The sequence below is a fragment of the Homo sapiens genome, chromosome 10 (assembly GCF_000001405.40).
Source record: "Homo sapiens chromosome 10, GRCh38.p14 Primary Assembly".
Taxonomy (NCBI): domain Eukaryota; kingdom Metazoa; phylum Chordata; class Mammalia; order Primates; family Hominidae; genus Homo; species Homo sapiens.
Genome location: NC_000010.11, coordinates 17080990 through 17107807, shown reverse-complemented (window position 1 = coordinate 17107807; position 26818 = coordinate 17080990). Strand labels below are relative to the sequence as shown.

General features: G+C 36.7%; 1 protein-coding gene across 2 annotated transcripts in view, besides 2 other annotated features; it reads left to right on the top strand.

Moving 5' to 3' along the window:
• CUBN (cubilin) overlaps positions 1-26818 on the top strand; it is a 305846-nt gene that overhangs the window by 22004 nt on the left and 257024 nt on the right. For both annotated transcript variants that reach the window (NM_001081.4, XM_011519708.3), the window contains exons 11-17: positions 2233-2351; positions 3203-3389; positions 4571-4683; positions 7569-7803; positions 19463-19644; positions 22049-22211; positions 23347-23537. In NM_001081.4, coding sequence (NP_001072.2) covers positions 2233-2351; positions 3203-3389; positions 4571-4683; positions 7569-7803; positions 19463-19644; positions 22049-22211; positions 23347-23537 — 1190 coding nt within the window. The remainder of the gene's footprint in view (positions 1-2232; positions 2352-3202; positions 3390-4570; positions 4684-7568; positions 7804-19462; positions 19645-22048; positions 22212-23346; positions 23538-26818) is intronic.
• Positions 3131-3331: a silencer, noted in NCBI's record as "peak884 fragment used in MPRA reporter construct". NCBI's record gives its function as "represses an SCP1 promoter by STARR-seq MPRAs in K562 erythroleukemia cells {active_cell/tissue: K562}" and the evidence as "EXISTENCE:reporter gene assay evidence [ECO:0000049][PMID:32103011]".
• Positions 9492-9692: a silencer, noted in NCBI's record as "peak883 fragment used in MPRA reporter construct". NCBI's record gives its function as "represses an SCP1 promoter by STARR-seq MPRAs in K562 erythroleukemia cells {active_cell/tissue: K562}" and the evidence as "EXISTENCE:reporter gene assay evidence [ECO:0000049][PMID:32103011]".

Sequence of the window (26818 nt, the reverse complement as noted above, 5' to 3'; positions counted from 1 at the left end):
ACTTGTATTTTTGCCAGGCGCGGTGGCTCACGCCTGTCATCCCAGCACTTTGGGAGGTCGAGGCAGGTGGATCACGAGGTCAGGAGATAGAGACCATCCTGGCCAACATGGTGAAACCCCGTCTCTACTGAAAATACAAAAAATTAGCCAGGCGTGGTGGCGGGCACCTGTAGTCCCAGCTACTCGGGAGGCTGAGGCAGGAGAATGGCGTGAACCCGGGAGGCGGAGCTTACAGTGAGCTGAGATCGCACCACTGCACTCCAGCCTGGGCGACAGAGCGAGACTCCGTCTCAAAAAAAAAAAAAAAAAAAAAGAACAACTTATATTGTCATTCAATTCTACTGTAAATCTGTCACATTGTGTAATTTGTTCTATTTTTTAAATTATTCAGCAGGGTTTTTCTATCCATCTTTAACAGTTCTTGCTGATGGAGGAATGTAGTTAACTGCCACATTGATTTCCTTGTATTATTTCAACCATTGTGCAGTAGTAGAAAGAACATATATTTCTGCAATGAGATGTGGCTTTTTGCTATTAAGTGAGAAATCTGGAAAACTCTCTGGATATTAAATTTAGTAAAATTTTGTAATGTCTATGACGAGTATTTTTAACCTAACATTGCGTAAGAAAACTGTCAAGATGCTGGATGCTCTAAAACTATTGTTAGCTATTACCTCATGTACATCATAATTAATCGTGGATGTTAATTCATGTTTTAAATAGACACGATCATTTCAAATTCCTTTTGACCAAGTTCCTTCCTAACCTAATTCGATTGCCATTGTTTTAACCTTGTACCTTGGCAATGAGGAGCTCATCAGAAGTGTGGGAGAAGTTTTGGTGCTGGTATTTTGTTGATGTCCCCATATATTTATGTTACTATATTATCTTCAATCTGTGGTTTTATTGCAAACGTCTTTTAGAGACTTAAGTTCATTCTGTGATAGCTATTTAGCCTGTTTAAAACTGGCAGCATGCAATCTGCACATCCACATAACTGGGGACATGTGGCCTGCCTGTGTAAGCCACACTCCTGTACAGGTGTGCTGTAGGCAGCCTACACACGAGGGGAGTGCTTGCTCTCTGGGCTCCCCTCATTCTAGCTGTGTGTGTGTGTCCTTGGCCGGGACAGGCTGTCTGTGTACTGGCTTCATCTGTAAAGTGGGGATTATAAGAGAGTACCTATATAGGGCTTTTTTTTTTTTTTTTTGAGATGGCGTTTTGCTCTGTCTCCCAGGCTGGAGTGCAGTGGCAGGATCTTGGCTCACTGCAACCTCCACCTCCTGGGTTGAAGTGATTCTCCTGCCTCGGCCTCCTGATTAGCCTGGACTACAGGCCACCATGCCCCGCTAATTGTTTTGTATTTTTAGTAGAGACAGGGCTTAACCATCTTGGCCAGGCTGGTCTCAAACTCCTGACCTCAGGTGATCCGCCTGCCTCGGCCTCCCAAAGTTCAGGGATTACAGATTCCATAGGGCTCTTTATTAGTATTATTATTATTATAATTAAAAAATTTTTTCTTGGAAATGGAGTCTCACTCTGTCACCCAGGCTGGAGTGCAGTGGCACTATCTCAGCTCACTACAACCTCTGCCTCCTGGGTTCAAGTGATTCTCCTGCCTCACCCTCCCAAGTAGCTGGGATTACAGGCGTGTGCCACCATGCCTGGCTAATTTTTGTATTTTTAGTAGAGACAGGGTTTCTCCACATTGGCCAGGCTGGTCTCGAACTCCTGAACTCAAGTGATCTGCCCTCCTCAGCCTCCCAAACTGCTGGGATTACAGGCGTGAGCCACTGTGCCTGGCCCTCTATTGGGCTCTTGGGAGGATTAAATCAGTCAGAGTAAGTCCAGTGCTTGCAACAGATAGTTTCATCCTAAGAATCTCCTTTTCTGCATTAACTCCTCCATGATGAGGAATGTCTGTCTTCCCCAGGTGCAGCTCACCTTTGTGCACAGCTCAGGACCATCTGACATATGGGCTGACAGCACCCATGTCAACCCAGTACGTCAATAATGTGTGGAAGGCATTTAATGGCTTTCTTATTTTAAGATAAGAAATACAAAAATAAAGATTCTAATATTTTCTCCTCATACCTTGTTTTGTCTGCCCGTCAAAATACACAGACTGGATGTTGGTGGATCCTTGTCTAGACAGCAGATTCTGAGTTTAGATACTGCATCCGAACAGAGGAGGAGACCTGTATTTACACGTTTGTTTTTATTTCTGAACAGGTTCCTTACCTCTCTGCACGTGTCTCCCGGGTTATACTGGAAATGGTTATGGGCCAAATGGATGTGTGCAGCTCAGTAATATTTGCCTAAGTCACCCCTGTCTAAATGGACAATGCATCGTGAGTCCTTTGTTTTTCCTGTGGACAGAGAGTACCTGAGAATTAGTTTCACGCCTATAAAATGTAACGTTATAGGATTCAGGAATGTCAAGATAATGAGTCAAGTTTCAGATAAGGAACTGTCGAGAACTCTCAGATGAAAGATAGATAATGATTTTAGTTCTTAGGAAAAAACATTGAGTTAATTTTTTGTCTCAGTGGTTTATGAAGTACTAAAACTACGCCTGCAGTTTGATCTAAATAAATCTGACATACAAAACAATTACCATTTAAACCTATTAATAACAAGTAGACTACTAGAAAATACTTACATATAAACACATATATATTTGTAGCACCTGTTAAATATATCAGTAGGCCAGGCGTGGTGGCTCATGCCTGTAATCCCAACACTTTGGGAGGGTGAGGCGGGTGCATCACGAGCCAGGAGATCAAGACCAGCCTGACCGACATGGTGAAACACTGTCTCTACTGCAAAAAGTTAGCCAGGTGTGGTGGCGCGTGCCTGTAATCCCAGCTACTCAGGAGGCTGAGACCGGAGAATCACTTGAACCCGGGAGGCAGAGGTTGCAGTGAGCTGAGATTGCACCACTGCACTCCAGCCTGGCCGACAGAGCGAGACTCCATCTCAAAAAAAAAAAAAATTATATATATATAATTATACATATATAATTATTACATAAATAATAATTATTTTTAAATATATAATTATATATTATTTTATATATAATAATTATATAATTATTATATATTATATATCTCCATGGCACTACATTCCTATTATTTGGGTTGATTAAAGTTTAGTGTCTATCCATTTGTTTTATGGTATTATGTGTTTTTTTTCCCCTTAGGACACTGTCTCTGGTTATTTTTGTAAGTGTGACTCAGGTTGGACAGGTGTCAACTGTACAGAAAACATCAATGAGTGTTTGAGCAACCCCTGTTTGAATGGAGGAACTTGTGTTGATGGCGTTGATTCTTTCAGTTGTGAATGCACACGTCTCTGGACTGGAGCTCTCTGTCAGGTTCCTCAGCAAGGTACAGTCAGCATTTCTTATGCCACGGATGCTCACAGCATAGCAGCAGCATCCTTTAGTGAGTCCCTCAACAGATTCCTCTGCTGAACCCACTTTCTTGTCCAGTTGCTCAGATACTGAGAACTAAGTCTTTCCTTGCAGAAATGGTATAAAATTCACAAGCTAAATATTTATAAATCTCACTGTAAGCCAAGAACTTTTCTTCCAAAGAATAAATACATTAGTATTTGCCATTTTCACTATGTCCTTTTTGAATATAAAACATGCTAAGGTATTGTCTTTTATGGTTTTCTAAAGGGAAGTTTTCTGAGGAGCAGCCACTTAATTTCCCTAGAGTACTGCATTGAATCAAGTCACTCTCCCTTTCCAGGATACACAGTGGCTTCCCGTTGCCTGTTAAATAGAGACTGGGATTAATTTTCAATGATCTTCTATAACCAAGTCTCACTCAATCCATCTAACCTTTTTTTTCACTAGTTCCCTAGAAATAACTTCACTCAAGCAAGTTTTCTTTCGTCACCGGACCCCATGTACCACCATGAGTATTTTCCACTGTGTTCATTTATTTGGAATGTTTCTCCCGATAAACCTCCTCACACATCTTCCTTGTTTCTCATCCAGATGTGTCTGTCCCTCAGGAGCACTTCCCTCTCAACTTCTTCCATAAAGTCACTTTTGACTCTTCTGCCCCTCACTTAAACTCCTGATTTGGAATCAACACATTTATTGAGAGGTTGTTGTTATATGTTTAGGACAATAGTAGACCCTATGGAAAAATATGAAAGTGTAAAATACTGTCTCCACTTATGAACTGCTCACCTTGCAGCTGAGGAGACAAGACCAACCCCAATGGGAGAACAGATACAAGAGTTAAAGACATGAGCTATGTTGTGTGGGGTGAAATTGGGTGTCACAGGGACACAGAGAATGGGAATCAGTGAAAACATAAGACATGGCAGTTCATGGAGCAGGTGATGAGGCATCAGCTGAGCTTTGAACAAGAGGTGGGATTTCTATGGAAGTTGACAGAAAAAGGGCACAGAGGAGAGGGAATGGCAGGGCTTTTATCTCCAACCTTCATTACTCAAATTTTCTCTAAGTTTATCAGCAGCAGGGTTACAGTTGCCCAACCTCTTCCTTTTAGGAACCTCTGAAAAGCACAGTTCATCTTTTCCTTTGCAGTTTGTGGAGAGTCCCTCTCAGGAATAAATGGAAGCTTCAGCTACAGGAGCCCGGATGTTGGTTATGTTCATGATGTTAACTGCTTCTGGGTTATCAAAACTGAAATGGGAAAGGTAAATGTAGTAACTCTTGCCCAAATGCATATTATATTTGTATATATAAATATGGAGTATGTGTATATTTTATTACATAAAATACATGCAATGATAATTCAACTATCATATATTGAGTGCTTACTAAGTACGGAGTGCCATTATTTTGGCTAGACATATACCTACCTTTTCATAACCTTACATTAATTGTTTGAAATAAGTCACAGGGGCTGGGTGCAGTAGCTCTTGCCTGTAATCCCAGCACTTTGAGAGGATGAGGTGGGTGCATCACCTGAGGTCAGGAGTTCCAGACCAGTCTGGTCAATATGGCGAAACCCTGTCTCTACTAAAAATAAAACAAATAAAAAAAAATTAGCCAGGTGTAGTGGCACATTCCTGTAATCCCAGCTACTCGGGAGGCTGAGGCAGGAGAATTGCTTGAATCCAGGAGGCGGAGTTTGTAGTGAGCAGAGACAGTGCCACTGTACTCCAGCCTGGCCAACAGAGTAAGACTCCATCTCACAAAAAAAAAAAAAAAAAAAAAAAAAAAGAGTAACAAGGCCAGGCCTGGTGGCTCACGCCTGTGATCCTAGTACTTTATGAGGCTGAGGCGGGCACATTGCCTGAGGTCAGGAATTCAAGACCAGCCTGGCCAACATGGTGAAAATCCAGCTCTACTAAAATGACAAAAATTAGCCAGGTATGGTGATGGGTGCCTTTAATCTCAGGTACTCGGGAGGCTGAGGCAGGAGAATCACTTGAGCTCAGGAGGCAGAGGTTCCAGTGAGCTGAGATTGCACCACTGCACTCCAGCCTGGGTGACAGAGCAAGACTCTGTCTCAAAAATAAATAAATAAATAAATAAATAAATAAATAAATAAATAAATAAATAGGAGGATCCTCCTTTTATAGATGAAATAATGAAAAGTAGGTGAAGCTAAACATTTTTTGTTAACACTTCTTAGCTTGTAATTGTAATAGTTGAATTTCAAAGTCAAGTTTGTCTGGTTCCAAAGTCCATGCTTTCTCCAGCATGAATGATTCTCTACACTGGTTGACTGACTGCAAGCCACTAGTTAATCTGTAAAATCATGTTGTTACTGAGACAGTATTTTAGAAGATGGTTGCTTAGTTTTATGTTGATTATTGTGCAAAAATGGCCACTGATATTAAGATAGTTTTCTTATCAAATGTCTTTGCTCTGCCATGTTCTATACTAAGTGCTCCATATACATTACAGCATTCCATTTTTAACTCTCATAACCCTGAAAGATAGAAATTATTATCTTCATTTTACACATGAGGAAACAGAGCCTAGTGCCATTGAGAAGTGTGTCCAGGTGCATGTGGTTCGAAAGTGGCATGCAGTGACTCAGACACAGGCCAGTCACCTCCACAGCCTGTCACTCTGAGCCGCTCCGTGAACGCTCTTCAAATTAAGATCCAAGTCCAAGGTTTTTAGTGCTCTTATACCCGACATTAATTACCCAGGCATTTCTAAATATTGTTTCTCAACCACCTCCTGGATTCATAAAAATAAAATGGTATGTCTGAATAGATAAAATTTTCCCTTGAAATCCTATTAACTTTTTCCAGCAAACTATTACAGAGGGCATTGTACAAGGGTCAAAAAACATTTTTTTTTCCTTTGAGGAGGGAGGACTATTTGCGACCTGGTAACCTCACACTAAAATAAACTCCAAAATAAATTTCCCAGTGGGTATGCTATGTGAATTTCCTTCCTTCCATTTAGTTTTCATGAATTCTATTTCCTGGCATTGAAAACATTCTTTTGAAAAAAAAATATTCTTAGGTGAGAAACTTGTAATACTTTCATTACCAATTCGCAAGAAAATTCATCTTGTTTTTTTCTTGATTATTGTGATTTCATATCTTCTCACTCATAATGGACATAATATGGTAGAAAATATATACAAATCAGGATAGTTCAATTAGTGAACATTTGAGTTTCATTTAAACTGTTTTAAGAAAGTCATGTAGTAATAGGTAACTGATCTTAAAATACCCTAGCACAGAATTTAAAAAATTCCTTATATTCTTTTTCATTAACTGAATATTGTTGTGATTTTAGGTTCTGATGAAAATTAAATTCGACAGCCTTCTTTTGATTGTTTATCTCAAATGAGGTTGTCAGTACGTTTTATAAGTTATATTACTATATTTGAAGTCTGTATTCTAATCCATTCGGACACATTTTTGTGTTTATTCTCTTCTACTTGTATGCTCAGTATTTTTCCTGTTATTCTTGTATGCTCAGTATTCTTCCTCTCATTCTCTACTCTTGGTATTACTCATCCTTTAATTATATCCAGTCCCTGAAGCCGTCCAGGCCTTGCTTGTCTACATCCCGCCTACTCCGCCCACACCTGAGCGTGTCGGTCTGGGCTGGCGTCAGAATCTTAGCCCCTCTGGAATCAACATCCCTGGCGGGCAGTGATGAACGTCTGTGTGTTTGATAACAGGCCACAGGTTATTCAGGGAATTAGGGTGTACATTCTTGTGAATGGTAATATTAGCCAGTTCAACTTAATTCAGGTAGATTTTCAAATCTCCAATTTATTTTACTGCTTTAGAAACAATGTCAGTTATATATTTGACATACCTTGGTCTGGTGGACTTGACAAGTTTAATGAAATTGGGGTAAATCTATGTTATTAACATTAAGATTTTTTGATATATTTTGATATTAGTTGAAGTTTGTTTTTAACAATATTTAGCACAAGTTATTTAGTATATAGATTGCCATATGTACTGGTGGATAATTAGGGAATGATAGGTCTAGCTCTTGAAAGTGCCTCAGTATGAATGCTGCCTAGGAAGTGGGAGAAATACTTTAAAATTTACATGGAAGTAAAAGATAATATATGTGGCCTTTGTATTTTTAGGTCCTGCGTATCACTTTCACTTTTTTCCGGTTAGAATCCATGGACAACTGTCCACACGAGTTTCTTCAGGTTTATGATGGAGATTCCTCTTCTGCTTTTCAACTTGGAAGATTTTGTGGCTCCAGCCTCCCTCATGAACTCCTCAGCAGTGACAATGCTCTCTATTTTCATCTCTATTCTGAACATTTAAGAAATGGGAGAGGCTTTACAGTAAGATGGGAAACACAGCAACCAGGTATGTGTGAACCTGGAGAAAAAAGCAAGCAAAATTTTGAGGTTATTAAGTGTTCTTAATCAGTGTTAGACTTTTGGATACATGAGATGTTTTGGGATCTGAAGATATATAATATTTTTATAATTTATTTTATTTTATTCATTTATTTATTTTGAGACAAGGTCTTACTCTGTTGCCCAGGCTGGAGTGCAGTGGCCTGATCACGGCTCACTGAAACGTCGACCTCCTTTGCTCAAGTGATCCTCACACCTCAGCCTTCTGAGTAGCTGGGACTACAGGTGTGCACCACCACTCCAGGCTAATGTTTTGTGTGTTTTTTATAGAGATGGAGTTTCTCTATGTTGCCCAGGCTGGTCTCAAACTCCTGGGCTCAAGCAATCCATCTAATTTGGCCTCCCAAAGTGCTGGGATTACAGGCATGAGCCACTGTGACCAACCATAATTACTTTAAAATCAAATCAACCTAGAATTAATTAGAATTTATTTTGTGTCTAAAGGCAACAAAATAAGCATGAAATAGAAGGGATTAAAAAACATGAGTCTTAGTTGGTCCCTTATCAAATTACTGAACAGCCTTTTTATAAGCTCTACTAGTAGTTTACTGCAGGAATATTGAGGACATTGTCCACCCCTTCATGTAGTATTCCTTCATCTTAATGATCACTCAATAATTTTTTCTTTTTGTTATTATTTTGTTTTAATTATTCTATTTTCTTTTAAGTTTTTACTATGCAAGTTTTAAACAAATAAAAAGTAAAGAGATCAGTATACCATGCCCCCAATTCATTCATCAATACATCTGTGGATCAATTTCAGCATTTTCTCATCTTTTTTACTGGTGTTTTTATCTATCCTGATGCTACCTAGGCTTAACTTCTGATGCTTGAAATCTGAGAGTGTAATTTCAACTTTGTTCTTTTCAAAGATGTTGGATATTCTGCATTTCCATATAAGTTTTTGAATCAACTTGTCAGTTTTCCCAAAGAATTTTATGGGAATTACATTGAAACTATAATTAACTTTGGAAGAAATGACATCTTAAAAATATTCAGCCTGCCAATGCATGAACATAAACTATTTTTAAATTTAGTTCTCTTTTCATTTATCCTGGCAATGTTTTATAGCTTTCAGTGTCTAAGTATTCCATATCTTTGTTAGATTTATTTACAGATATTTGATATATTATGCTTAGTGAAATATTAATTTTCTAAAATTTAATTTTTCACTTGTTATGTAAAAATATGTATTTTTTAAATATTTGATTTTGATTCCATATACATTGTTAAATTCACTCATCATGTCTAATTATTTTTTGTAGATTCTTTTGGATTTTTTAAACGTACATAATTACATCATGTGTGAATGAAGGATATTTTTCCTCTTCCTTTCCAGTCTTTGTAACTATTATTTCTTTTCCTTGACTTATTGCCCTGGCTAGGACCTTCAATACCAAGCCGAATAAAAGTGGTGAAAAGGAAATCCTTGTCTTTTCCCCAGCAGCATGGGGAAATGCTCAATATTTCATTGTTGAATATGATGTTAGCTGTAAGTTTTCACAGATAATTTTTATCAGATGAAGAGTGTTCTTTCCTATGTCAACTACTATTGCTGTATAACTAATTTCCCACAAATTTAGTGTTGTAGAACATTAATCATTTGACTTTGTTTCTGATTTTGTGGGCCAGGAATTTGGAAAGAACCTAACATGACAGTTGCTACTTGAAATCTATTCAGCAGTTATAAGCGGGTGTCAGCTGGGACTGTAGCTGTCTAAAGGCTGGACTGGGCTGAATATCCAAGATGGCCTACTCCAGTGGCTACCAATTGATGCTGGCTTTCAATGAGAGTTCAACTAGGCTATGGACCTGAGTGCCTACATGTGGCTACTCTAAAAAGTTTGTCTTAGAATAGTGAAACTTTCTTCGTGGCAATTGGCTTCTCTCAGAGCAAGCATTACAACAGAACCAGACAGGTGCTGCGTGGGAATTTTTCAGCCTATGTTTGGAAGTCATTGTGTTATTTCTGCCATACTCAATGGGTTAACTTAGTCACAAGCTGACCCAAATTCAAGGCGAGGGGACATAGGCCCACTTCTAAATGGGAGAGGTGTCAGAATTTATAAAGAATTAAAAAAAAACCCACACCTTTTGTTCCTAGTTACCAAGAATTTTAAAAAATCATGAATGAATGTTGAAACATATAAAATACTTTTTCTGACTCTATTCAGGTGATCATATGTTTTTTGTCCTCTATTCTGTAAATATAGTGAGTTAAATTGATTGATTTTGAATGGTGAATCAACTTTGCATTCATCAAATATTTTCCATTTGTTCATGGCAAGTTATGCTTTTTATACATTGCTAGATTTTATTTGCTAATATGTATTTTTAGGATTTTTATATCTATATTTGGGTGATATTCTTTTGTAATTTTGTCAAGTTACAGGTAATGTCAATGTTTTAAAATTAATAGAAAAGTGTCCTCTCTTTTTATATTCTCTGGAAGGATTTGTGTAAGATTGACAATATTTCTTAAATGTTTGAAATAATTTACCATAAAGTTAATTGAGCCTGCAGGCTTCCTTGTGAGAAGGCTTTAAATTATGATTCAATGTATTTAATATAGATCTATTCAGAGTTTACATTTCTTCTTTTTTCAGTTTTGGCAATTTTTTTCTCAAGAAACTCATCTGTACTTTCAGAATATTTTCTTACTATGTTTTAGTGTTCGTAGGCTCTGTAGTGATGTCGTCTCTTTTCATTCCTGATATTGATAATTTATGTTATCTTTTTTACCTTGATAAGTCTTACCAAGGATTTGTTAGTTTTACTAATGTTTTCAAAATTCCAACTATTGGCTCCGTTAATGTTTTCTGTTGATTTTTATTTCATTGATTTTCCTCATGGTTTTATCATTTTCTTCCCTTGTGTTATTTTGCACCTAATGTATGGTTACTTTAACAATTTTTTCCTAGCTTCTTGACTTGGAAGCATTGACAAATGAGTTTGAACTTCTTAGAATTTCTAATATATGCACTAATACTAATGCATTTTCCTTGGAGAACTTTTATTTGCATCCCACAGGTTTTAATATGTATGTTTTCATTAGCATTCGGCTGAAAGTATTTTGTCATTTTTATTTTGAATTCTCTGTGACCATAGGTTTTATTAAAATTATACTGTTTATTTACCAATGTGATCACTAATCATGCAGTATATTATTTCAATCTTTAAAATTTGTTAAGATTTACTTTATAGACCAAAGTCTATTTTGGTGCATTTATTGTATGGACAGGAAAGAATGTATATTCTGTAATGGTTAGATGTAGTCCTCTACCTATATTAACTTAGTCAAGTTGGTAAATAGTGTTTTTCAAATATTAAATTTCTTTACTGATTTAAAAAAATATTTGCTTTATTACTTAGTCAGAAAGTTATAGTAAAATCTCAAACTATGATTCTAGATTTGCCAGCTTTTTGTTCTGAAACTTTTGCTTTATTTATTTTCTTACATTATTTTTATCTTCTTTTCCCAATATTTCAAGCATTTATGTTTTCCCAGCTTTATTGGAGCTTAACTGACAAATGAAAGTTATATATATTTAAGATGTACAATGTAATGTTTTGATATTTTGATATATGTATAACTTGTGAAATGATTACCACAATGTAACTAATATATCTATCATACATAGTTACCATTTTAGTCAATATGGTGAAAATATTTAAGATCTACTGTCAGCAGTTTTCAAGTGTATAATACAATATTGTTAATGATAGTCACCATGCTGTACATTAGATCTCTAGAAGCTATTCATTCCAGAGAACATAAACGTTTTAGCCTTTGACCAACATTTCCCTATTGCCCCCACCTCTCAGCTCCTGGCCACCACCATTCTACTTTCTGCTTCTATGAGTTTAACTTTTTTTAGATTTCACATATAAGCGAGAGCATGCAGTGTTTGTCCTCCTATGTCTGGCTTATTTCACTCAGCATGTCTCCCTGTTTCATCCATGTTGTCACAAATGACAGGATTTCCTTTTCTTTTTAAGGATAAATAATATCCCATTTATGTCTGTGTGTGTGTTTTTGTGTATTTATATATTGCACTTTTTCTTTATCCATTTACCTGTTGATGAGCACTTAGATTGATTCCATATCTTGGCTATGGTGAATGTATGAATGTATTGTGAATAATGCTGCAATGAACATGAAAGTGCAGATAGCTCTTCCAGATATTTATTTAATTTTCTGTGGATATATAACCAGAAGTGAGATTGCTGAATCATGTGGTAGCTCTGTGTTTAATTTTTTGAGGAACCTCCATATTGTTTTAAATATGGCTGTACCAGTATACTTTCAACAAGGGTTCCCTTTTCTCCACATCTCATCAATACTTGTTGTCTTTTATCTTCTCGATAATGGCCATTCTAACAAGTATGAGGTGGCATCTTATTGTGGTTTTGATTTGCATTTCCATGATGATTAGTGATGTTGAGCATTTTCTCATATATTTGTTGACCATTTATATGTTTTCTATTCAGAAATGTCTATTTGGATCCTTTGCCCATTTTTAAGATTGGGTTAGTTTGTTTTGTTGATATTGAGTTGAGTTTTTTATATATTTCAGTTGTGCTTTTGTGGTCATATCCAAAAAAATCACTACTCAGACTAATGTCATAGGGCTTTTCCTGTATGTTTTCCTGGATTGGTTCTTCAGTTTTAGGCCTTATGTTTAAGTCTTTAATTTTGAGTTGACTTTGTATGTGGTGTGGGATAAGGGTTCAGTTTCATTTTTCTGCAAATGGATATCCAGTTTTCTTAGCACCATTTATTATAGACTATCCTTTACATGTTGTATGTTCTTGCCATGTTTGTCAAAAATCAATTCAGCATAATATATGGACTTATTTCTGGGCTCTCTATTCTGTTCCATAGGTCTAGATATCTGTTTTTAATGCCAATACCATACTGTTTTGATTACTACAGTTTTGTAATATATTTTAAAATCAAGTAGTGTATTTTTATTTTAAATGTATTTTTAAATCAGGATGCCTCCAGGTTTCTTCTTTTTGCTCAAGATTGCTTTAGCTATTTGGGGTCTTTTGTGGTTTCATATGAATTATAGGATTCTTTTTCTATTTTGTGAAAAATACCATTGGAATTCTGTTAGAGATGGCATTGAACTGTAGACTGCTTTGCATAGTATGGACATTTTAACAGTATTCTTTCAATTTGTGAACACCAAATATTTTCTTTTTTTCATTAATGTGGTATAGTTTTCAAAATACAGATATTTCACTTTCTTGGTTAAATACATTCCTAAGTATTTAACTTTTTGACACTATTGTAAATGGGATTTTCTTCTTAATTTCCTTTTTGTACAGTTAGTTGTTAATGTATAGAAATGCAACTAATTTTATATGTTGATTTTATATCCTGTAACTTTACTGAATTAGTTTGTTCATTTATTAGTTCTAAAAGTATTTTAGTGGAGTCTTTAGGGTATTCTATGTATGAAAGATCATGCCATTTGCAAACAGACCATTTTACATTCTAATGGGATCATTTTTCTTCAGCCTGAAGAACATATTTTAATATTTCTCACAGAGCATGTCTGTTGAAGACAGATTCCCTCAGCTTTTGTTTAAGAATGCATTTTTTACCTTAATTTTTGAAGGATATTATTACACATAGAATTTTAGGTTGACCATTTCCTATTAGCTCTCTAAGAATACCACATCAGTGTCTTGTCACTTCCATAATTTTTTTGGGGAGAGGAACCTCAGCAGTAATTCTTGTTGTTCTCCTGAAGATAATGTGTCTTTTTCTCCACCCTCACTGCTTTTATTGTGTGTTTATATTTAATTTTCCACAACTTGATTATGGCGTATCTAGATCTGGTTTTCTCTGTGTTTGTCCTGCTTGAGAGTCACTGAGAGTTTTGAATCTATAGGTTGCTTTCTTTTATACAATTTTGAGAAATTTCAGCCAATATTTTTTCAAATATTGCATTGCCACTTTTTTCCTCTTTCTTCTCCTTCTGAGACTCAAATTACACATATGCTGAAGGTTTTGACTGTTTCTAATAGTTCTTATGGTTTTATATTCTTGCCTTCTTTTTTTGCTTTGATTCCATTTGGTTATTTTGTTTTGGAAAGTCTGTAAGTACTGTTGAAATGTTCTTCAACTATTTTGTCAACCTTTTCCTCTAAGTTTTATCATAATTATTTTGGAGTCATTGTTTGGTAGCCTCAGTATCTGGAATGTTTCTGGCTTTGCTGAGATTGCCTGTTTTATTTATTATTGGGTTTTGGTTTTTTTTTTACTACTTCCTCACAGGCCTAGTCAGTTTTTATTGTGAGCAGGACATTATACGTGATATGTTGCAGGGGTTCTGGATTATATTATCTTCCTCTCAGAAGGGTTGGGTTTTTTTCTAGTAGGCACTTATGTTCCTGGCAGATCACTTTCATTCAATCAAGGCTTGAATTTACAGGGGACCTATTTCAAATTTTCCATGAATCCTGGTGGATTGCCATATTTCCTAGAATATGAATCTTACTCCTGTAGCATACTTTTCTCACGTTTCAATTCAGTTCTCAGGGTTTTCATAAAAGTATCTCCTTTCTGACTGAATGAGGCAACACATCCCTTCAGTATTTATTATGCAGTCTCTCTTCAATTCTTAGCAACTTCCCTCCCCTCCGAAACTGTTCTCTGTTAGTTAGACCTGCTGTCTTCTCTGTGCATTTGCAGCTTGGGAATGAGCTAAGGACCCAAGGAAATGCCTGTACATTTTTGAGGTGCCATTTCCATGCAGCTGCTTTCCTTATAGTATGCAGCTCCAAAACCGCCAGATGCTTTGGTAGCCCTAAATCGTGAGTTGTTTGTTTGCCATAGCAAGGGTATTGCTGTCTCCTTGGGCTTCACTTCTTTGAATTCTTGAGTGTGTATGGGACATACTTTATATGCTTCTCTTTTCAGAGATTACAGTCCTTTGCTGTTTGTTCTCAATGCCTGAAAATGATAAAAACTAAAACAAACAAACAATAATTCCTTACTATTATCAATCATTAATCATTGTTCATTTTTTCTTAAGTGAGAGCAAGTTTATTAAGACAGTAAAGAAATAAAAGAATGGCTACTCCATAAGCAGAGCAGTGGCATGGACTGCTTGACTGAGTATACTTACAGTTATTTTGTGATTATTTGCTAAACAAGGAGTGAATTATTCATCAGTTTTCTGGGTAAGAGGTGGGCAATTCCTGGAACTGAGGGTTCCTCTTCTTTTTAGACCATGTGGGGTAACTTCCTGATGTTACCATGGCATTTGTAAACTGTCATGGCACTGGTAGGAGTGTCTTTTAGCATGCTAATGCACTATAATTAGCATATAGTGAGCAGTGAGGACGACCAGAGGTCACTTTCCTCACCATCTTGGTTTTGGTGGTGTTTGACTGCCTTCTCTACTGCATCCTGTTTTATCAACAAGGTCTTTGCGACCTGTATCTTGTGCCGACCTCCTATCTCATCCCGTGACTATGAATTCCTTAAACTCCTGGAAATGCAGTCTAGTAGGTCTCAGCCCTATTTTATCCAGCCCCTATTCAAGATGGAGTTGCTCTGGTTTGAATGCCTATGGTTTATTACCCCACTCCCTTTTACAAGGGGACCTTTAATCCTAAGGGTTGTAGAGGGATGTCAGTCCATTTTCTGTAACTCCTTCAGGATGAATAGGGGTGATGATATTCCTGCCTAACTATTAGGGTCTCTTGTATTCAGGGTAGAGAGGAGCTTAGTCAGAAAGCGTCAGTATGGTGAGACCCGTTCATAACTCTGATAAAAGGTGATATCCACAGTCTGCCAGTTGGTGCTACAGTCTGTTTCCTATGGGTCAGGGGTTTTCTCCGTATCGTCCCTGTGGGGTTTGCCAGGAAGATGTTACCAGAAAGGATTCCTGATCTAGACCCCAAGAGAGGGTTCTTGGACCTTTCACAAGAAAGAATATGGGGTGAGTCCATACAGTAAAGTGAAAGCAAGTTTATTAAGAAAGTGAAAGAATGAAGAATGGCTACTCCATAGGCAGAGTGGCCCATTGTTCAAATTTATTTGTGAAAGAAATGGATTGTTTGTTCTGTAGATCATCCCACATCTTGGATTTTGCTGTTTATATTCTACATGCCATTTGTCATGTTGTTTGTAAACTGGTGCTTATACCAAAAAGTTTGGTTAAATCCAGGGGGTTTTATGTGGTAAAAAATAATCTTTTCAGGAGATACATGAAATCTGCTTTTCTATTATGAAGTTAACATTGGTCAGAGTGTTCTGATCTCCTCAGGTTGAACTTCCCATTAAAAGCCTCTTTTGCACTTTCTCTAATGGTTTTAGCATTCTTTAGGTTCAGTATTTAGATGAGTTATTCATTGAGACCTACAACATGATAATAGTTTGATTTTATTATTTCTTCTTTATTTATTTATTATTTGAAGTTCTTTAATGGAATAGAAGTTACTCATATCAGCTATTTGGTTGCTCTCATACAGAGATCATGTAGGAAAGGTAGGATAAATGCTTGATTTTCTCTCTTTTTCTTTTTTTTAAAAAGTATTCAAATTAATAACTTGGTTCCTTAGCATTCTTCAAAATGGTCACTTATTCCATTTTATTTTGTTTTGTTTTCGATATCTGTACATTTATATATTATATCACATTTGATGTGCTTTAATCAATTCTAGGCATTTAAAAATGAAACACTTTTCCGTGTTTTGTTTGTTGTGTTTGTTAATAATTTGTTTTCAAAACTCTGGAAAATTTTCCAGTTAGTTTCTGAACTTGTTTTAACCAAACTCCAGTTACCTTTGAAAGCTCCTTTGCTTTCTGGTCAGAAAAGATGTTCTAGGCTCTTCCTGCACATTATTTACCTCAGGACTGAAAACCCTGATTTCCCTAAAGAGCTCTGACTTTTTCTGTGGGAAATGGTATTTAGATCTCACAATCTGGGTGCTACGGATGGCTATTGGTACTGGGTGTGTCATCGTCTCTAGACCTTTCAGTGGACAGAATTAGAAAAAACTTTTTTGTTGTTTTTTAAAGAAAAAATACCCTATATATTCATAGTGATCTTACACTATATTGGAATATTGAGATTATAGAGTTGCTTTTTTTTTTTTTTTTTACTTTACATTTCTACCTCTTCTCTCATACAGTAAAAATCCTGGTTCCCAATGACATGAACATATTATTTATGTACTTAGTCCTACTGTACATATTTTCAAAATAACAATACTAATATTATTACTAATGGTATGATAACTGGAAACCATTTAAGATTTCTTTGTTCTTTTTTGTGTATTTAAAATATGTTTTGCTTGAGCGGTATAGTCAAATTACAGTGTTTAAGGTCCCTTGGAATATTTCTACTCTCTATGGTTGTCAGCTCAATGCAATTATTTCACCAGTTTCACTTCAGTTGTGATTTTAAATATTTCTTTCATTTTTCTCAAATTTTGCTTTATAATTATGTAAAATATATTTATAGTTCCAAAGCCAAATCAATGGGCATGGTAGATTATGAGAGGTCTAGCTTTTTTTTTTCCTGTCCCTTCCACTCTGTTCTTTCTCCCCCATTAGAGAACAGTTTTTATTAGTTTTTGATTTATCCTTCTATTTAAAAATTAAGCAAATGATCTCATATAATTGTATTTTCCTCTTTCTTAGATAAAAGGGAGCATAATATACACACTGGTCTATAGTTGGCTTTTTTTCACATCATATATCCTGGAGATTACTCCATAATCAGAGCATAGTATGCCGCTATGTGATGTCTCATTTTCTGTTCAATCAATACTCTATTGACGGACATTTGGCTTGTTTCCAGTCCTTTGGCCATTTTCTTTTTAGTCTTTTGTTTTTTATTTTTGAGACAGGGTGCGATCGTGTCTCACAGCAACCTCAACCTCCCAGGCTCAAGTGATCCTCCTTCCTCAGTCTCCCCAGTAGCTGGGACTACAGACACGCACCACCATACCCAGCTAATTTTTATTTTTTTATTTTTTGTAGCGATGGCTGCCCAGGCCGTTCTTAAACTGGGCTCAAATGATATTCCTGCCTCAGCCTCCCAAAGTGCTGGGACTACAAGCATGAGACATCACACCCAGTCTTGTTTCCAATCTTTTGGAATTCCAAATGTTACTGCAACAAAATACCTTATTCACTTGTCGTATTGTATTTTTGCCAATGTACCTTTGCGATATCTTTCCAATGGTAGTATTGTTTGGTCAAAAGAAAATGAAATGCATAGGTTTTTGCTAGGTATTGCTATATTCTCTTATGTAGTGATCGTACCATCTTGCATTCTCTAGCAATGTGTGAGAATGTCTATGTCCCCACAGCCTCTCCAATAATTTGTTTTCAAAACTCTGCATTTTTAACATTCTGAGGGGTAAGAAATGGCATCTCAATTAAGGTTTTATTTGCTCCTTCTTTGTGATGAGTGAGGTTGAACATCCTTTCATATGTTTAAGAGACATCTGAACTTTTTTCAGTGCACTCTATTCATGTCTCTATTCTTTTTAGAAGTTCTTTATATTTTAGGATAATAACTCTTTGTTGCATATTGCATTTTTTCTTATTTTGTCATTAATCTTTTCCTTTGCTTATGCTATTTTATGCATTTAAAACTGGTAACTTTTAAAGTATTACATTGGGAAATGCCTCTTTTTCTGAAGAACTGAGATGTTTTCTCAGTAGGAACAATGAGACTCATGGAACTAATTTGTTTCATTTTTTACTTTGGCAGGAAAATTTTTATTTGAACAACCTGTATAGCTATGTAAATTTCATATCTTACACATCTAAAATGTTACCTATCTCACTTATTTCTAATGTCTGTATTACTACAGTCTGGATTTTTATTATTTAGTGTTTCTGTCATTTGATTTACAGTAGCATTTCTCATAGAAATCTAAGCCACTACAGATTCTTTGTTAAATAAATGTGGGTATTAATGAAGAGCAGGTTCTTCCAGTCACTAGTCAGCAACGTTAGGGGGCCGATGTGGTATAATGAGGATGGTAGTGGGGTCAGCATCAGAAAGCCTGGCTCAGTCCCTCACTTGCTCCATTCTTGGAACAGTGGCTCGATCACTACAGACATTTGAATTTTTTCATTTATTAAATGAATGTTTTAACTATATGATAGTATTAAGAAACCTTCTCAAATGAAAATTATGTCACACTTAACCATTTTAATATGCAAAGTGATCTGGTTTGCTGAAACACACAGAGGTTGGCAGAAGTTCTGGAATTCTTTACAATTTCACATACAGAAATTAATATCATCAAAGTGAAAAAGATGACTCTACAATCCTGGTATTCATCGCTCAGATGGTTCAGCCCTGTTTAAATAGTGTCAGCATGTGATGGCTCACAAGCACAGAGCTTGACACATGGGTGATTCATTTGTTTATCAATTGATACTTCTAGACTTGTAACTTTATAAAACTGGAAAATGTAAATCTTTTTTAATTTATGAGGGTGTCTAAAACTGCTCATAGTTATTTAAACAAAGTTTGGCTTCTTACGCCAAGGGCTCTGATCATTCTCCATAAATTATAGCATCTATACAAATGTAACATTATTTTTCCCTCTTATTTTAGAGTGTGGAGGTATCCTGACTGGTCCTTACGGTTCTATTAAGTCTCCGGGGTATCCTGGAAACTATCCCCCAGGAAGAGATTGTGTCTGGATTGTTGTAACTAGTCCTGACCTCCTGGTAACATTTACTTTTGGGACCTTGAGCCTCGAGCACCATGATGACTGCAACAAAGATTACCTTGAGGTAAATAATTATATTTAGATAGAACATATCACAATATGATTAGGACTCAGGGCACTATGGTCTAGCCATGCCCATGGATGACCCCAAAATATTAGCTGTAGTTAGGTGTGTTTCTCAATAGTCAGTCAATATCTAACTCTTGCAAAGTCTCTATTTTTAACTGTGCCTGTTTGTTGCTTCTTCTTCTGGGTTCCATTTGAATCTGGGAAACAGATTACCTTGCCCTGCTATGGTGTTACCTGGAAGCTCACACCCCTGCCATGAGAATGCAGAATTTATGAAATAAACACTCAGTAATAGCCATCTCCTTCAATGCAGATTCAAACCTTCAGTTGTCTGTGGTAAACTGGCAAGGTCTTTCACAGCTTAACTGTAGCATTCCACGAAGAGGCCGGGTGTGGTGGCTCAAGCCTGAAATCCCTGCACTTTGGGAGGCCAAGGTGGGCAGATCACTTGAGGTTAGGAGTTGGAGACAGCCTGGCCAACATGGTGAAAACCCATCTCTATTAAAAATACAAAAACTAGCTGGGCGAGGTGGCGGGTGCCTGTAACCCCAGCTACTCGTCAGTCTGAGGCAGGAGAATCGTTTGGACCCGGGAGGCGGAGGTTGCAGTGAGCTGAGATCGTGCCACTGCACTCCAGCCTGGGTGACAGAGTGAGGCTCTGTCTAAAAAAAAAAAAAAAAAAAAAAGAAAAAGAAAAATAATAGTGATTGTGTTGAACTGGGTTAGGTTCCTGGAATAAAGTAATCATTATTACTGAGAGGAGAGGTATCAGCCGAAGCTCCTTCTGCCTACCCATTAGTAAAAGATTAAAATATGGAGGAGGAGAAAAGGCTCTTATATTCAAATGCCGTTTGTACGTAGGTGCATCAAAAAGTGTTGCTCTTCATTTGTAGACTGACAAGATAATGGAGAAGATTGAGTTCCCAGGTTGTCCTGTATTTTTTATCACCATAAATCTCAGCCCCTTGCAGCAGTGTGAAAAAGACAATACGCATTTCCAAGTCCATTAGAGAGGAATAGAGTCAATGCAATTATTCATAAAGGATAGAAGGATGTGGTGTCAAAAAGGGGCTCTGCAAGTAAAAGTCATTAGTAATTCAGCAATAATGGATTTGAAACCTTTGGGAATGACTGGAAGATCTGTCTCTCTCTGGAAAATTTCTGCAAAATGGTCATTTAAATGTTGACAGAAAAGTGAGTTATCTTGAAATTAATTTTCAATAAATTCCATCAAGTTAAAATTAGAGGCTTTAAAAAATTCCTACACATTCATTTCTGGAGACCATATGGTAGAAAGTGTCAACCACTCTGACAATATTGAAATGTCTCTCATTTCTCTTTAAACTACAGTATTTCAAAGAACCAGTTAAATATTAGAATAAAGTTATGCTGCCATCTAACTTTGATCCCAGTAAGAAAAGTAATTTGAATAGACAAAATTGACCATATTAAAATATTCTTTAGTTCATTGACTCCTCGGTGGTTTATATAGTATAGAATTTGCAATTACAACAAAATTATAGAGAGATTGACATGATTACATCATAGATTAAAAACCAACAATTAGAAAAGGATTTCTAAGGTCACGTCATTATCATTGTAGTACTTACTTACTATCAAAGTTGCATTTTTAAATTCACTAACCTGTCTTTCTGTTGTGTCTAATCTGATGGCACTTCCTCTCTACCTCTGACCCTTCTGAAAACCTGGACCAAGTTATGAATCAGTTGGCATCAATGGTGTTCCTTCTTCTGTTTTCTTTGCTTATATTCATTTTCTTCTAGATCACTAAGAATTTATAATGAAAAAAATCAAAAGGGAAAGATCTTTGATTAGTAACATCATGACAAAAATTCTAACTATATGTCCAGCCTTGGAATTGAAATCCAGTCACAGGCCAGGCGCGGTGGCTCATGCCTGTAATCCCAGCACTTTGGGAGGCCGAGATGGTCAGATCATGAGGTCAAGAGATTGAGACCATCCTGGCCAACATGGTGAAACCCTGTCTCTACTAAAAATACAACAAATAGCTGGGCGTGGTGGCAGGTGCCTGTAGTCCCAGCTACTTGGGAGGCTGAGGCAGGAGAATTGCTTGAACCTGGGAGGTGGAGGTTGCAGTCAGCTGAGATCGCACCACTGCACTCCAGCCTGGTGACAGAGCAAGACTCCATCTCAAAAAAAAAAAAAAAAAAATTCAGACAGAGAGAAGGCATTGGGGTGATGGGAGAAGGAGACACACTTTGCTGAACCTCAGCCATGAGTTACATTTGGATGTGATGGGGAAACTTCCTTGAGCGATCACTTTTAAATGATAGATTTTATGAAGTTAATATCCAAAGTGACCTAGTTTGTTAAAAATCTGACCACTTTGAGCTTAATGATTCATCCTTTTGTTTTAGATTCGAGATGGTCCTTTGTATCAGGACCCCCTTCTTGGGAAGTTCTGCACCACTTTCTCTGTCCCACCGCTCCAGACTACTGGCCCCTTTGCCAGAATTCACTTCCATTCAGACTCCCAGATTAGTGACCAAGGCTTCCATATCACCTACTTAACATCACCTTGTAAGTAACCTACCAGTTGGGGGCTTAAGAGGGATTTGAAGGCCAATGCTATGCTTACATCTGTTTTATATTTTAATGTGATTCAGAGGATGACTGACTGTCTTAGACCAAGAACATTTCTTTATAAATATTTCTCTCATAGCTTCATATTTTTTCTTTATCTTCCCAATGCTCTATTATTAATACTGCAATACCCTTTGATCCCTAAATTATGGGATCCACATCATGATAAAGATGTATGAGGCACCCAAACTTAAATAATTCAGGGCACCAGGTCCCTCGTGGTGTTTGATGTTTAGTTGTGAGAGAGGTTTGTGCATGCGAGCAGTGCAGTCTCTCTGGATTTTATCCTCGGGTCAAGTCCAGCTGCACAGGGGCTGGGGCTGGCTTCCAGCATCACAGTGTCCCAGACTCTAGAGCTTCACTTCCAGCCAAATACTATTAGCTGTTAGGACCTCAGTTGCTTTGATACCTTAAAACAAACAAACAACAAAACACAGGAAATACTCTATGATTTGGATTTTTTTAGGGAAGTGGAGGATTTTGTTTATGACATCTATTATTGTGCCCTTAATAAATGTTCTCAGAAAAAGTACCTTTTAAGTTTCAATATCAGGAAGAGTAACAAAGAACATCTTTACTTGTCCCCTTTCTTCATTTCCTTTTCTTTCCACGGAATCTGGTGCCAACCTCCTGTTCCCCTTTCAATTGTTTTCCGTGCAAATCAACTCCCCCTGGCTACATCTTGCTATTCTGTATTCATTTTTTCTTTAATCTGCTTCATGTATACAGTTATGTAGTTTATTTTGTTACATGTTTTTAATAACCATCTCAAATCTTATTGAAATGAAGCAGAGCATTAATGTATTTAAAAAGCAACTTATAGAAGAGAATGGCAGATTGGAAGCTAGATCACACATCTCTGCATCTATTTCTTTAAGCCACTACAGAGATGTCCCACAACACATCAAACTGAAAATCTTAAAATTAGAGGCACAAGCCTATAGAGGGTGAATAAAATGGATATGTGCTTGTGTGTGTGTGTGTGTGGGTAAATTTTTAGAAATTGGATCCAATGCCTGCAAGCCAGAGCAATGCCATTGCCATGACCTGTTCGTCTCTTCCCTGTTCTTAGCGGATCTGCGTTGTGGTGGGAACTACACGGACCCAGAGGGTGAACTCTTCTTGCCTGAGTTGTCTGGGCCTTTCACTCACACCAGGCAATGCGTCTATATGATGAAGCAGCCCCAGGGAGAACAAATACAAATCAACTTCACCCACGTGGAGCTGCAATGCCAGAGTGACAGTTCTCAGAATTACATTGAGGTAACTTTCACTACTCAATCGCCCTTAGATGACATTCATCAACATTTTTATATTCTGCAGAGTGGTGGTCTTCAAAAGATTGTTGGGCCACCAGCAGCCAGAATACCTGAGAGCTTGTTAGAAATACAATAATAACTAAGCTCTAATGACTAAGGTGCAGGCAAATAAGGCTGATAGGATGTACTAATAAGATACAGATTTATTATCTAGAATAATTAATACAGGAAAGAACTCAACCCAGGGAAGTGAAGGGATTTGCCCAGATGACCCAGCTAGTCAAGTGGTAATAAAGTTTAAGTGTTGAATGACCCTTGTTTTGGAGGTTAGGGTTTTTCCTTCCTTTATTCTGCTTGCTCTCCTCCAGAAATCTTTAATTTTGATTTAAGTGTGGGTAATGATTGTAATACAGGGAATATTTGAAACAGAGACAGGCTGTTTTTGTTTGCTGGGCCTGGTATTTCTTATGCTAAATTATTGGTCAAGCCACAAATTAAAGTGTTGAGCAAGATAAAACATTGTTTTTTTGGGCATAATCATTTTACATAAACTAGAGAAGAATTTACAATTTTGTTTGTTTGTGCAAGTTAAATCCATTTATTCATCCAGGAAAAACCTATGTGACCTCCTGTCCTCTTCTTTCTACATTTAGACAGAGGAAACAGAACTTTAGCATAAGATCTAGCTAGACTTAGTTGAAGTGCATTGACCATAGCACTACAGCAGTATGTATGTATGTATGTATGTATGTATGTATTTATTTATTTTGAGACGGAGTTTCGCTCTTGTTGCCCAGGCTAGAGTACAATGTCATGATCTCAGCTCACCACAACCTCTGCCTCCTGAGTTCAAGCAATTCTTCTGCCTCAGCCTCCTGAGTAGCTGGGATTACAGGCATGTGCCACCACGCCCGGCTAATTTTGCATTTTTAGTAGAGATGAGATTTCTCCATGATGGGCAGGCTGGTCTCAAACTCCCAACCTCAGGTGATCCTCCGGCCTCAGCCTCCCAAAGTGCTGGGATTACAGGCATGAGCTACTGCAACCGGCCTGCATTTTTTTTAATCCAGAAATTTTTATTTAAGATCATTTCAGAATGGGTATATTTATTCAATTTAGGTTTTCTAAAGTCTCTTATAAAGTATATTAAAGTTTTACACTACGGAAGAATTTCAAATATTTTTATGTAAATCAAAATTAAATTATTAACCCTTTTTTTTTTAACTTTTGAGAACAGCAAAAATAGCTTTCAATTAGAGAGTGCTTCCTGTACTCCAGGCACTATTATAAGACTTTAAAATAGTATAACAAATTAAATAGATAATGATCATTGTCAGCTTACTGCCTGCCATGTGTGGTAAGTGCTTTTCGTGAGTTATTTCATTGAATCCTCTCAACAACCATTATTATTTCTGTTTTAATCTTAGGAAACTGTAGCCCAGAGAAGTTACTTGTCCATGGTTACATGTCTAGCAAGTAATGGAGCTGGGATTCAAATTTAGGAGATCTAGTTATACTTATCTTCAGTAAGAACAGAAATGCAATTGTGTGACGTTGACTACAAGAGGTGTCTCATCTTCCATAGGGAGGAAGGTCTTGTGAATTACCCAATTCCATACCTGGCTCTCCGATCACGAGACTAAAACATGAAGCCGAGCATCATGATTTTCTCAGATACGCAAGAATGTAACTATAATTTTCAGGGAAATTTGGGGCCCTTTCTGTTAAAGCCTTCATGGTGATTCTCTGGTTCTAAAGAACTATCAGTACCTCTGAATGGTTCATCCTCTCAGGCTTTGCAGAACACTAGAACTGAATTTCAGTGAGCGGTTCCATGAACTCCTCTGAATTCTTCTGAAAAGTTTGCACAAAAAATCATAAAACTGGCTTTGGAAGTTTTAATTTCATAAACCAGAATGGTGGAATGTTTTGTAGCCAGAAGGGGATTAAAGTTAGTTCACCTAACTTCTTATTTTAGTTCATTTGTCAGATGACCGTATAACCTTGGACAATTCTTTATCTGGATCTTTCAGTTCCTACTTCAGTAAGATGTCCTATCTATTTCTCTAAACTTTGGGGGTAGAATCAAGGAAATAAATGATAAAAAGAAGCTTGAAGTGTTAAAAAAAATAATGCAAATGCAAGGTTTTTCTGGAACAAAGTTTTAACTCTAGCCTTGAATTTATCAGTTCAGAGACAGCCGATGTGGCTGTCACAGTTGGCCAGCGAGGTATCTACATTCTGATGTAACCACATATCCTCAAAGTCTTGACCAAATTTCCCTCAAGGATTGTTGATGGAAAAAAAAACTGTATTATTCAGAAGGAGAGGTCATGTACGGTGATTTAAATATTAATAGATAGATTTTTATATTATATCTTTGACCAACCAACCTAAAGGAATACAACCAACCTGTAGAATTTTGGCATCAGCAAGGACCTTAATTTTACAAATGAGAAAATTGAGGCTCACAAAGGTCAAACTCTAGTTATTGTCAAAGTAAAACTTAGATGTACCTCTATGAGATTCTAGATGGACGTACATTGACTTTGGTTAAAGCTCTTGTCTTTAAATCATCTCTATCCATTGGGAAAATTTGTGAACTGAACCCGTTTTCTAAAAAGTATATTCACTTCTCTTGTTGTTCTTCAGATAGTGGTCATACAAGAAAGTGATACAGGAACCAAATTCTAATGACATTATTATGACTCAATATATTGTTCCCTAAAATGATGTCTTCATTTTTTAAAGCTATCTCTAAAAAATGAAATATTTATGAAAAAGAATTAAAAAAAGAATGTTGGTATTTCAAATACTTTGGTGGTTTAGAGGGGGGTTGACTTTGTCCTTTACTGACTCCATTGATGAGTAAAAGCAGTCCACCCAAAATTTTAGAAAGAGTGGAGAAGAGAAAAGAAATTCTACAGAGATGTGGGAGAATGATCCTAAGGACATTTACTTTGCATGTGAATAGGTGTACTTTTAAGAATCCTAGATCTTCTCTTTGTGTGGTTTTAGGTGCCTTGGTTGCCAGGCAAACATATCCTTCAAATGAAGATTAAGGTACCATTGCTGAGTGTGTATCTTTCACAGATACTGTGGTTTTGAAAGACTTACTTTTGCTCAGTAAGAGAGTTCCATAAGCACTCATTAAAGAATAGATTTTAACTGCAAAAGATAAGAATGATATTGACCCAGTGTAGCATATCTTTCTTTTTTTTTAACACAAGGAACACACATTAACATGTTAATTCTTAGATTTATATATCTCTCTTAAGTGAAGTT